The 13,430-nt window shown below is 40.0% G+C and overlaps 1 protein-coding gene across 21 annotated transcripts in view, besides 1 other annotated feature; it reads left to right on the forward strand.

Annotated features, from left to right (window-relative positions):
- The window catches only part of RUFY3 (RUN and FYVE domain containing 3), a 104,853-nt gene that overhangs the window by 19,563 nt on the left and 71,860 nt on the right, over positions 1-13,430 (forward strand). For 3 of the 21 annotated variants that reach the window (NM_001291993.2, XM_005265658.3, NM_001345840.2), the window contains exon 1: positions 11,081-11,264. The exons of the other annotated variants lie outside the window; for them this stretch is intronic. The gene's annotated coding sequence lies outside the window, so the exon portion shown is untranslated. Of the gene's footprint in view, positions 1-11,080; positions 11,265-13,430 lie in introns of those variants that run through there. 21 annotated transcript variants of the gene reach the window in all.
- Positions 8,089-8,338: an enhancer, noted in NCBI's record as "active region_21602". NCBI's record gives its function as "activates an Ori minimal core promoter by ATAC-STARR-seq in GM12878 lymphoblastoid cells {active_cell/tissue: GM12878}" and the evidence as "EXISTENCE:reporter gene assay evidence [ECO:0000049][PMID:35858748]".

A 13,430-nucleotide genomic window follows, 5' to 3' on the forward strand; every position in this document is an offset into this window, starting at 1 on the left:
ATGGACTCCTAAGAAAGCATAATGCCTGGAAAGGTTAAATATGATTAATATGGCATCCCTATAGATTACAATAGAATGGTAATATTGGAATCTATTGGCCATTGCTTTTTATAAATTATTTGTGGTAACTATTATGATCCATTTGAGATTTCCACTGTCAGTACCTCTGAGATCTTTGTGGTCTCTTGACTTGCGACTTTTTTCCAGGACTCTTGCTAATTTATGAGAGGTTTTCTGCTTCTACCCTTTAATTCTCTTAATACCACAGAAAGAGAGCTGATTTGAATCATAGCTACAAATCGTTTTGTTTTTAATACAGTTGCTTCTTAGCTAAGGTTTATTCTCTGTCCTTATACTGATGAAAAAAAACAAAAAACGCTTGCATATGAGGAGAAATTCTTTATAAACATCTGCCTGATAGTTAGGCACATCGACAGGACAAAGAAGACCATAGGTGAATTGTACCTAGCAGATGGGGTTAGGAAAGGTGATTCTCTGCCTTTGACCTTGAGTTGAAATCTTATCATGACTCAGAATTTTCCCATTGTGTTTGATAAGCATTTTATCTTCCCAGTCAGCCTTAGCCTTGAGAAAGTTTTAGGGATGGTTAATAACACAGAACACAAAGCAGTCATTTTGGGTGTGTCTTTAAGAACAATGTTTAAGTGGTTTTTAAGACCCTTTGCATCTTTTAACAATTGGTTTGTTAATTAGACAGCTTTCTTTGGCTGTATGTTTCGTTATGTGCACAAGTTATAAGACATCAGCTGAAATTCCATGCAATGCCAGTACTATTTATTTTTTATTATTATTTTATTCTATATTTTCATCAAAACATCGTTACATCCAACAATTCCAGTACTACTTAAAACAGCCTCCAAAGCTTTAAAAGTCTTTAGGGAAGAAAAATACAGTTTTAGAAGGCTACCAAGAAGTCTTCTGGCAACTGCCTCAGTTTACATATTTTGTTTGAAAAAAATGTATTCCCGTCCAATTTGAGAGTTATACAATATGAAATATTCCCTTTATCATGAAATCTAGTTTACCAGTGTCTCAAAAATAATTTTTAACAATTTTAACACCTCAAATATATGTTTTTGGAGCAGGATTCCTATGGATAAGCAAAAGTGAGCTGTTTGGTTCATGTAAGCGTTTTTAGCAGCGCCATTTGAATTCTTCATAGAGAAATCTGTAGCAACACATTTCTCAGTATGGAAAATGTGTGAGAGCTATAATCTAAGTAATAAATTGTATGTCTGCTGATTAAAGAAATCAGATAAATACAGAGTTTCCAAGACCTGTAATCAACTATAGAGGATTTGGAAGAAAATAGAGAAATGCCGACAGTGCATTTTAGAATTTTGCCTTAAATTGGGCAAGAAAGCTATTATTTTAAATTACTAGAAATGAAAATAAAGAAAGCATAGTCCCATGAAAGCCTGTGAGTATTACTGCCTTGCTCCATTACCAAACTCTGGATATTTAAACAGTCATTTGGTCCCAAGAAATACCCACTTTTATGTTAATACCACTGATAGTTATTAGATTTAATTTAGCTATAAGCATTTAAGTGGTGGTCACCAGGCCCATGATTATGTGAATCTCACCTTGTTCACAAAATGGAACTCCTGATGTCTGGACGCGGGAGTATTCAGACTGCTTTCCGGGCTGATTCACAGAGGGAAAAACATCTGACCACCCAAATCCTAGAGTGAAGTCTCCTCACTCCCACAAAAGAAAATAGGCAAACAGCATAATGTTCCCTCTTAAAATGATGTAGACTGACTGTGTGTACTCAGCAATAGAGGCTCTGTGGCTTCCATATTTTATTTTCTTAAAACCAGAGTTCCTGGCCCTTCACTGAGCAGTCCGCAGTATAGGCCTGGACCTAGAGTTTCTGCCTACTTTAACCCTTAAATAAATGAAAATAAAAGCATTCACTTCATTATCTCAATGCTTATTGGTGGTCAATGAGGGATTATCTCTCTTTTGTCTTATATACTCTTTTTTTTTTTTTTGAGACAGAGTTTTGTTCTTATTGCCCAGGCTGGAGTGCAATGGCGCAATCTTGGCTCACTGAAAACTCTGCCTACCGGGTTCAAGCGATTCTCCTGCCTCAGCCTCCCAAATAGCTGGGATTACAGGCATGCGCCACCACACCCAGCTAATTTTTGTATTTTTAGTAGAGACGGGGTTTTTGCATGTTGATCAGGCTGGTCTCGAACTCCCAACCTCAGGTGATACACCCTCCTTGACCTCCCAAAGTGCTGGGATTACAGGTGTGAGCCACCATGCCCGGCTTATATACTCTTATTTTCAAAAGCCAACAGCAAATCTACAACAAGTTTAATTGCAAATAGATTTCCCCTAAAGGCAAGAGCCTGTGATTGACTCCACAGGAGAAGGGTCAGGAGAGGCTTCATTAAGTGAGACCTTAAGAGATAAACAGGTGATCACCAGACCGACATAGGGAGGGCATTTCAAACAGTACACAGTGAGCTGGCCCAGCCAGGGAATAGCAACAGGAGCACAGAGGGCTTCTGTTTGGCACAACAGGGAGCAAGACTGGAAAGATAAGCAGGGGCTTGACTGTAGAAATCTTATTCATACTGAAAAGCCTGCACTTGATTCTGTAGTGAAAAGCTACTGGTGCTTTATGTCTGGGAGTAACATAAAATAAGATTTGTGTTTGGAATGATCACTCTGGCAACAGTGTAGTGAATGGATCAGAAGGATATAAGCTCTCAGGGACCCCTAACTATAACTTTTAAAATGGTCTGGGTAAGAGATGACAATCTCACATTAAGGTAGCAAGAGTGAACACCAAAGGAACAATCCCTGGAAAAGCAGAATGTACCCGATGACTGAGGGGCTGGGTGGCTGGAGAATGAACATAAGGCAGTGCCTGGGATGACTCTCCAACTTCTGGCTGCAGAAGCTAGGTTCCCTTTACCAGTAGGGAATATAGAAGGAAGAGAACATTTGAGTTGTTGATGCTTAATAGATTGTGACTAACAAAAGCACTACCATCACTCTTTTTTTTCTTTTTTTTGAGACAGTTTCGCTCTTATTGCCCAGGCTGGAGTGCAATGGCGCTATCTCAGTTCACTGCAACCTCCACCTCCCAGGTTCAAGCAATTCTCCTTAACTCAGACTCTCCAGACTCCCCAAGTAGCTGGGATTACAGGCATGCGCCACCACGCCCAGCTAATTTTGTATTTTTAGCAGAGACAGGGTTTCTCCATGTTGGTCAGGCTGGTCTCGAACTCCCGACCTCAGGTGATCGCCCGCCTCAGCTTCCCAGAGTGCTGGGATTACAGGCGTGAGCCACCGTGCCCCGCCCATTACTCTTTCAGTTGAGCCTTCTACCCGCCCCACAGAAGCATTAATCAGATTTATACTTTTCCAGATTACATATCCTGGCTTAAGTCTGTACCCTAATTTACATTAAGAGTTGGAATCCTCACATGGAAAGGCGGGGGTGAAGATAAAAGGAGTGAGACTTAAATGGACATTCAGAGATGTGAGAATGTGGCTTACTTTCTTACTTTGCTTGTGCCATGTCAGTGCTAGAGGAGCAGCCTTGTTTATAGAAAATTCATTTTGCATTTTCTTAATTTAGGGAAACATGTACCACCATTGAAATAACCTCTCAGACTTTTGTTTGTTTGTTTGTTTTACTTTGTGAAAGCGTAGTGGGATTTCTTTCCTTTTTTTTTTTTTTTTTTTTAACCGAAGCAATGTTGGAAGTAAGTGGAATTTCAAAGTAAAGGAACTTTTAAAGCACCATGAAAATTTTAGAGAACATGTGTTCTCTGTTTTTTTCAAGAATGGAAGCAGAACGCTTCAGTTAGACCTTTAAGCATCATTATATTAATTTCAGAAATGGTGTTATTACTGAGATGAAGTGGTATATTTTATTTTTGCGATTTTTTTTAAGTCACATGCTCATATGTATCTGAATTTCTTGGAGTAACATTCTCAAAACAAGTTACATATAATTCTAGGATCAGGAAAGTAATAACTTTTTTTTTTTTTTTTTTTGAGACAGAGTCTCACTCTGTTGCCCAGGCTGGAGTGCAGTGGCGAGTTCCCAGCTCGCTGAAACCTCTGCCTCCCAGGTTCAAGCGACTCTCCTGCCTCAGCCTCCCTAGTAACTGGGATTACAGGCAGACGCCACCACGCCTGGGTAATTTTTGTATTTTTAGTAGAGACGGGGTTTCACCATGTTGGCCAGGCTGGTCTTGAACTCCTGACCTCAGGCGATCCACCCACCTTGCCCTCCCAAAGTGCTGGGATTACAAAAAATTAGCTGGGCGTGGTGGCGGGTGCCTGTAATCCCAGCTACTCGGGAGGCTGAGGCAGGAGAATCGCTTGAACCCAGGAGGCAGGGGTTGCGGTGAGCCGAGATCGTGCCACTGCACTCCAGCCTGGGCAACAAGAGAGAAACTCTGTCTCAAAAAAAAAAAAAAAGATTTTTTTAAAGAAATTCACCAATACATGTTATGTATACGCATGTCCACATACGTGAAGGGCAGGGATAGTATTACCTTCAGTATTATTGAGTGTTTAACAACAAAACCAACTATAGCTATGACTCAGTTTATAACACGTTTACCCTTAATAAGTTTACCTAATTAGAAATGTATATGTTAATAAAAATTTTTACACTTTAAAGAGGATTTTTAAAGAATGAAATCCTGACTCATTTGTTGTCTCAAGTGACTACAGATACCCCTTGAATTAAGATGGGGTTATGTCCTGAGAAACTCATCCTAAGTTGAAAATACCATAAAATGAAAATTCACTTAACACACCTACTCTACTGAACTTAATAGCTTAAGTAGCTTAGCCTCTCTTGCCTTAAACATGCTTAGAAGACTTAAATTAGCCAACAGTTGCGCAAAATCATCTGGCAGCACAGTACCCTGTAGCGTATTGGTTGTTTACCCTGATCTGTGGCTGATCGTGTGGCTGACTAGGATGGTGTGGCTGACTGGGAGCTGCGGCTTGCTGCCGCTGCGCAGCATCGTGAGAGAGGATCACCTGGCGTATTGCTAGCTCGGGAAAAAATCAAAATTCAAAATTTGAAGTAGGGTTTCTACTGAACACATATCACTTTCTCATCGTTGTAAAGTTGAAATATCGGAAGTTGAACCCTCATAAGCCAGGGACTGTCTGTGAATTGAAATTAGCCTAAAAGACAGCAGTAGTATCATATTTCAAAAAAGAAAATGTTATTTTGCATATACTGCCTTTACTCTGTAAAGTGTTTCAGACAGATTTTTTTAAAATATAATTTGTGATCTAAGTCCAATTCCTTGTTCTTAAACTAAATGTCCAGCTTTTGGTCTATTTTCTTTTTTCTTCCACATTCCTACTCTCTGTTATCATTTTTCGGATATTTATATGGTTTGAGTGGCAGGCAAGTTAAAAATCGCAATTTAAAATAATTTTTGTGTGCTTTTCAAAGTGAAGCTAAGTTGGATTTTTTTAAATAAGACTTTTTTCCGATTACAAAAGGAAATTTGTTGTGGAGATTTGGATATTTCTTTTTTTTTTTTTTTAAATGAGGCCTTGAGATTTGGAAATTTCTAAGTAGAATTTTGACACAGAATTCAAAATGACTGAAGAAATCTGCTGGATACCTAATGAGTCTCTTTAGAGTTGGGTGGATAAATTAGTCAATGGAAAACTTTATTGCTGTCAATATGGGGTATATTTGAGAACAGTAAAGGAATTAGTACAATAATGGGGTTGATTTGGCAATTCGTGTTTTAGCTACTGTGATGGTCATTAATTTAGAGATAATATAGGATAGTGGTTAAAAGTATGGATTTTGTGGCTTGGACCTGGACCTGGATTCAGTTCCTTACCCAGTACTCAGTAGTCATGTGACGTTGCACAAGTGATCACTTCATGCTTGAGTTTTTTTGTTTTTTTTTGAGACAGAGTCTCACAGTGTCACCTGGACTGGAGTGCAATGGCACGATCTCAGCTCACTGCAACCTCCACCTCCTGAGTTCACACAATTCTCCTGCCTCAGCCTCCTGAGTAGCTGGGATTACAGGCGCATACCACCACACCCAGCTAATTTTTTGTATTTTTAGTAGAGACGAGGTTTCCCCATGTTGGCCAGGCTGGTCTCGAACTCCTGACCTCAAGTGATCTGCCCACCTCTGTCTCCCAAAGTGCTAGGATTATAGATGTGAGCCATCATGCTTGAGTTTTTCTCTCCTCTTAACTGGGAATATTAACGGTAACTACTTCAGAGGTTAGGAGGATTAAATGAGATACTTAATGTAAAGCACCCTATAAATGGTAGCTATTTATATTAGTAGTTATTCATGAAGCAGTAGCTGAAGCCACAGCAGTTTAAGCCGGATTCTTCAATACATTGCCATTTTATTTTATATTTCTATTTTTATATCTATCTTTATAGAGTAGTCTGAACAAGTTATTTATCAGACTAAAGATGAACATTAGTAGTAGCTTAAACTCAAGTTTTAGCATTGTCCTTTCTTGGACCTCTATAAATAAGAAAATAATTGATTAAAAATCCACAAGTTATCAGTTATCCAGGAATATGCATTTTTGTTTCTTTCGTTTTTTTTTTTTTTTTGAGATGGAGTCTCGCTCTTGTCACCCAGGCTGGAACACAGTGGCGCAATCTTGGTTCACTACAACCCCTGCCTCCCCAGTTCAAGCGATTCTCCTGCCTCAGCCTCCCAAATAGCTGGGATTACAGGCACCCACCACCATTTCTGGCTAATTTCTGTATTTTTAGTAGAGACAGGTTTTCACCATGTTGGCCAGGCTAGTCTTGAACTCCTTGAACCTGCCTCGGCCTCCCAAAGTGCTGGGATTACAAGCGTGAGCCACTGCACCCAGCCAAAATATGTGCTTTTCTATTAACCTTCTTTTAGGGATAAGGAGTCTGACATTGAGAGGTGATGCACAGATGATCAGTTGAATGCAATAAAATATACATCTGGCCTGATTAGTTACTTTCCGCTAGGAATTATTTACTCCAAGTGTTAAAAATGTATTCTCTCATTTAATTTTTACAACAACCTTTTGAGCCTAGGTACAACTATTACCCCCAATTTACAAATAAACTGACATTTGGCCAGGCGCGGTGGCTCACACTTGTAATCCCAGCACTTTGGGAGGCTGAGGCGGGTGGATCACCTGAGGTCAGGAGTTCAAGACTAGCCTGGCCAACATGGTGTACTAAAAATACAAAAAAAAAAAAAAAGATTAGCTGGGCGTGGTGGCAGGTGCCTGTAATCCCAACTACTTGGGAGACTGAGGCAGGAGAATCACTTGAACCTGGGAGACAGAGGTTGCAGTGAGCCGAGATTGCACCACCGCACTCACTCCAGCCTGGGCGACAAGAGTGAAACTCCATCTCAAAAATTAAAAAAAGTAAAATAAGCTGACATTCAAGGGTGTAATAACCGGTAGAGGCAGGATTCAAACTCAGACTACCAATGGTTCAACCCATACACAACACTCCTGTCCCAGAATTCTAGAGTGTAAGTCCAACAATAGGCCTGCGTGTAATAAGAGGAGTCTTCTTCCCAGTCTCTGATGACATATTTGCAGAAGTTTTATACACAATTGAACACAGCATTGGCAGCTTAAGTACAGTCAGCATGCAGATAAGGCCAAAAGCATCCCAGCTGGGACATGCTTGGTGATTGCCATCTTTTTTTTTTTTTTTTTGAGACGGAGTCTCGCTCTTGTCCAGGCTGGAGTGCAGCTGCGCGATTTCGGCTCACTGCAACCTCCGCCTCCTGGGTTCAAACAATTCTCCTGCCTTAGGCTCCTGAGTAGCTGGGATTACAGGTGCCCGCCACCATGCCCGGCTAATTTTTGTACTTTAGTAAAGAAGGGGTTTCATCATGTTGGCCTAGGCTTGTCTTGAACTCTTGACCTCAGGTGATCTGTCCACCTTGGCCTCCCAAAGTGCTGGGATTACAGGCGTGAGCCACCAAGCCTGGCCAGTGATTGCCATCTTTTAAAGTGGAGACTGAGTTTTTTGTCCACATGTTTTCTTTTTCCTCTTTTCACTCACTTTTATAAAGTAAATGAAAATATTTACATAATCGTGCATATACTACCAAACAGCAAAAATAGTACACTGCTGAAACTGACCTGGCTGGCAAGTGACACCTCTATATGCTAAATTTAGCTTTCTGAAGCAGATGTACAAAAGCAATAAGAAAAGCAGTTTTGTTTTGTTTTTGTTTTGAGACAGAGTTTCGTTCTGTTGCCCAGTCTGGAGTGCAGTGGCGCAGTCTCGGCTCACTGCAACCTCTGCCTCCCAGGTTCAAGTGATTCTCCTGCCTCAGCCTCCTGAGTAGCTGGGACTATAAATGTGCACCACCATGCCCGGCTAATTTTTGTATTTTTAGTGCAGACAGGGTTTTGCCATGTTGGCCAGGCTGGTCTTGAACTCTTGGGCTCAAGCGATCACCCGCCTCAGCCTCTGAAAGTACTGGGATTACAGGCATGAGCCACCGCACTTAGCCTGAAAAGCAGTTTGTGATAGCAGTAATGTTCACGATTATGGATTGTTTGAAATAGTAGCTACAGGTAATCATTATTCTTTTAGCCAAGCATTCTCATGCCCTTCTTTGGATGATTTTTTCAATGTTTTTTCAAACTCCTTTTCAACATACTTACCTGTTCCAGTCAGACTGTGCTTCAGTAAAATCCTGATTATTCTTTTTGTTTTACTATTCTGACTTGTGATTCTTCATGCCCGTGTTATATCAGGAAGGGTAATGGACCCCTGACTCCCTTCATCTACAAGTCCTTCTCTAACAGATCTCACACCTTTCATGTCCTGAATCACTGGTTAGCATCTGGGACATTTGTTTGAATATGCTAGAAATCATTCCCCAGTTATTTAATTCATGGGATTCCTTATTTCTGAAATTATATAGAAAGTTCTTCAGGGCAAACCTTTTCTTTGGCGTTCTTCAGAAGGCCCCATGGTACTGTGTACTATTTATCGTAGATATCCAACAAACTTCTGGTGAACTCAGTGATTCCCTATTACTCCATAAAATCATTTTAAAAGAAAGGATTTGCATGTTACTGTAAAGACACATGCACACGTATGTTTATTGCGGCACTATTCATAGTAGCAAAGACTTGGAACCAACCCAGATATCCATCAATAATACACTGGATAAAGAAAATGTGGCACATATACACCATGGAATACTATGCAGCCATAAAACAGGATGTGTTCATGTCCTTTGCAAGGACATGGATGAAGCTGGAAACCATCATTCTGAGCAAGCTATCACAAGGACAAAAAACCAAACACCGCATGTTCTCACTCATAAGTGGGAGTCAAACAATGAGAACACATGGATACAGGGAAGGGAACATCACACACTGGGGACCTGTCGGTGGGTAGGGGGCTGGGGGGAGGGATAGCATTAGGAGAAATACCTAATATAAATGACGAGTTGATGGGTGCAGCAAACCAACATGGCACATGTATACCTATGTAACAAACCTGCACGTTTTGCACATGTACTCCGGAACTTAAAGTATTAAAAAAAATAAAAAGCCAGGTGCAGTGGCGGGCGCCTGTAATCCCAGCTATGTGGGAGGCCGAGGCAGGAGAATCACTTGAACTCGGGAGGCGGAGGTTGCAGTGAGCCAAGATCGCGCCACTGCACTCTAACCTGGGCAACAGAGTGAGACTCCATTTCAAAAGAAAGAGAGAGAGAGAGAGAGAGAGGAGAGAGAGAGAGAGAGAGAGAGAGGGAGGGAGGGAGGGAGGGAGAGAGAGAGAGAGAGAGAGAGAGAGAGAAAGAAAGAAAGAAAAATGGATTTTGTCTTCCTCCATTACACACAATTTAATTTATGGTTTCTAATGTTTTCTTTATTTTTAATTGTTTATCTCATATTCTGGACCGACTGTATATTATTTGGAAAATATAAGTTTAGAATAATGTAATAATTTGTTGTTTAAATATATCTTAATAATACGTAGTATTGATAAAAATATGGGACGACTTGGGGCCTCTGCTAGTGGGAATGTGCATTGGTACATCCTTTATAGAAATCATTTTATCATTGTGAATCAAGGACCTTAAAAAATTAATTCTCAGTAATTGTACCAGACACCTATCCTAAGGAAATAATAAGAGATACAAACAAAAAGTTTATGTATGTACTGTATATTTATCACGGTATTCTGACTTCCTGTAACACACTCTTGAGAGCAACTTAAATAGCCTAAGAGGAAAATTATTCAATAAGTTGTAGAACACCTTACACTAAAAATTATTGTGGAACAATATTTGATGTGTAGGGTAATGTTTGGATATAACTTTAAAAGCTGTCTCTTAAGCTGCATATTTACTATAGTCACAATTTTTTTAAGTATAGGTATACATAAACACAAGTAAAAGGAAATGTATCAAAAATATAAAAATTGATTATCTCTGGATAGTGGAATTATGGGTGATTTTTATAATATTCTTTATATTTCTTTATATCTCCCAAATATTCTACAAGAGGACATATTACTCTAATATGAAAACAAATGTTCCTTTTTCAAAGGAAAAATCTTTATGAAAATTAACGGGTGTGCAATCATCCATCCAACAGATATTTGTATTATATATCAGTACCTTCTATGACAGTTTCACACATCTGTGAGTGGGAACATTTGCCTCACAGCAGAGCTACTGCTTTAGATTCAATTTCCATTATAATTTTTTAATATTTCTATTAGGCATTTTATTTTGGGTTTTTTTCAAACACAGACCTGTGTTTATTTACTGGCATGCTCTGTTTTCATAGCTGTTTAAATGCTGTTTGCAGTGTATGGGGTGGCCCACAGTGTCTAGATTTAGAAGCATTTACAGCATTTGATTTATTCCTTTCCTAAGTGTTTGGAAAATAAAACCTGAGTCATTGGGATTCTCTTTTTCACAGAATTGTGTTATTGTTCTTTGCTTTCACTGTGGCACACCCCCTTTTGTAATTGGCCCTTGGTGAGATTACAGAAACATTTGTTGCCACCAGTGCAGTCAGCCTTAGATTTACACTGTCAGGTTCTCTGAGCTGTGATTATGTGTTCAGAAGGCAGTCTCAGTGAACTTCTCAAAGTGAGAAGGTTGTAGCTTTTAATACAGTCTCAGAAGCCTATGGGACAAAGTTTTCTGGACACGGTTCATCCCTTCTTGTTGCTCTGCCCTGAAAATAACCTGGCTAGTCACCCTTTCAAGGTAAGTTTTACCCACTTAGCTTCCAGGATTTTGTAAAATTCTAAATCTGGGTGAGAAATATCAGTAGCTCTGTACTTGTATGCCAGTTCCTATCTAAACCACGAAAGAGGTGCATGCTGCCTCTGATCTGACCGTAACATACTCTGCATAAAATCAGCTTTTCCTTCCTGTTTCAGGACTACTTTCAGTTTCTTCCTGTCTCTTTGATACTCTTGCACTAGCGTTGGCTTCAGTGCACTGTCATTAACCACAGTGCCTTACAGTATTTTCTTCTATTGGTGAGCCTTTTCTGGACCTTTCGTGAAACAGAGCTTCTACTTGAATCTTTAATTTGTGCCCTTCATAACAGAACTCACATTAACTCTTCTTTGGGTTATCAGCTTCTGACACCCAAGAGTCATTTGTCCTAAACTAATCACTGAAATATGAATCATTTTCCAAAAAGAAATGCTGTGCCAGAGAAGATAATTGCCACTCAGTGATAGAGCTCAGAACGGAATTCACGTTGTCAGATTCCCAAGCCTGAGTACCAACCAAGATCTGGTTGGAAAGAGCAAGTGCTGTCGTCTGAGAACATCCACCATATTCTGTACTCTTCAGTAGCTGTTCTGTGTTTTGCTTTTTTGATGGTGCCCCTCCTGAGGGGGAGGTGGAGAGTATATAATTGGGCATGTTTTTTCATTGTGGTTCCTCTAGTCCCCACCAGTCAACTGTGACTACTATGAAGTGCTTTTGAGTACAGGGCTGTAAATACTAAAATCTGTTCCTTTGCAATTTTTGGTATTTGAGCTTTTCCAGAGAACAAATAGAAGGATTTGATGAGCTTAGAAATACATGTGTAGAGGAACAGTGAAAAAGACTTCTTCCCAAATGGCTGCTAAGTAATTATATATTTTTCATCATAATTAAATATTCTCAAAATTGTATGTCAGTGTGTTGAAAATAGTGTTTTCAAAGAAAATATTGGCTGGGCGTGGTGGCTCACACCTGTAATCCCAACATTTTGGGAGGCCAAGGCAGGCGGATTGCTTGAGCTCAGGAGTTCAAGGCCAGCCTGGGCAACATGGCAAAACCCTATATCTACAAAAAAAAATAAAAATTAGCTGGGTGCTGCTGGGCACTGTGGCTCATGTCTGTAATCCCAGCACTTTCAGAGGTCGAGGCGGGTGGATCACCTGAGGTCAGGAGTTCGAGACCAGCCTGGCCAACCTGGTGAAACCCTGTCTCTACTAAAACTACAAAATATTAGCCGGGCATGGTGGCGGATACTTGCAATCTCAGCTACTCAGGAGGCTGAGGCAGGAGAATTGCTTGAATCCAGGAGGTGGAGGTTGCAGTGAGATGAGATCACATCACTGCACTCCAGCCTGGGCAACAAGAGCAAAACTTCATCTCAAAAAAAATTAGCTGGGTGTGGTGGTGCATGCCTGTGGTCCCAGCTACTCAGGAGGCTGACGTGGGAGGATGGGAAGATTACTTGAGCTCAGCAGGTCAAGGCTGCTGTGAGCTGTGATTGCGCCACAGTGCTCCACTGGGTGGCAGAGTTCAGACCCTGTCTCAAAAAAAAAAAAAAAAAGAAAAGAAAAGGAAAGAAAGAAATGTCTTTAGCATTATTATGTACAGATATTTTTAATGAAAACAACTTTAGTTATAGAGGTGATATATTTGCATTGTAAGTCACAAGATACAGAAAAGTATAAAAATGCAAAATAATAGAATGCACCTACATTTCAAATACCTAGGGATAACCACTGTTAAGATTTAGTATCAGATTCTCTTTTTCAATGTATACACTTTTTCAATGTATACACTGAAGGTTCACTTGCAAACTCAAAATTTTATACATGTAAGATCATACCACACCTGTGCTGTGTGACCTGCCTTTTTTCCTCTGCAATATTTTTCCATATGGGTAAATTGAAATTTTTGTCATTTTGTTTAATGTCTTCAGTTATTGGATGTGCTATAATTTCTTTTCTTTTCTTTTTTTTTTCTGAGACGGAGTTTTGCTCTTATTGTCTGGGCTGGAGTGCAATGGCATGGTCTCAGCTCACTGCAACCTCTGCCTCCCGGGTTCAAGTGATTCTCTTGCCTCAGCCTCCCAAGTAGCTGGGATTACAGGCGCTTTCGACCATGTCCGGCTAATTTTTGTATTTTCAGTAGAGA

This window comes from Homo sapiens, chromosome 4, assembly GCF_000001405.40.
Source record: "Homo sapiens chromosome 4, GRCh38.p14 Primary Assembly".
Taxonomy (NCBI): Eukaryota; Metazoa; Chordata; class Mammalia; order Primates; family Hominidae; genus Homo; species Homo sapiens.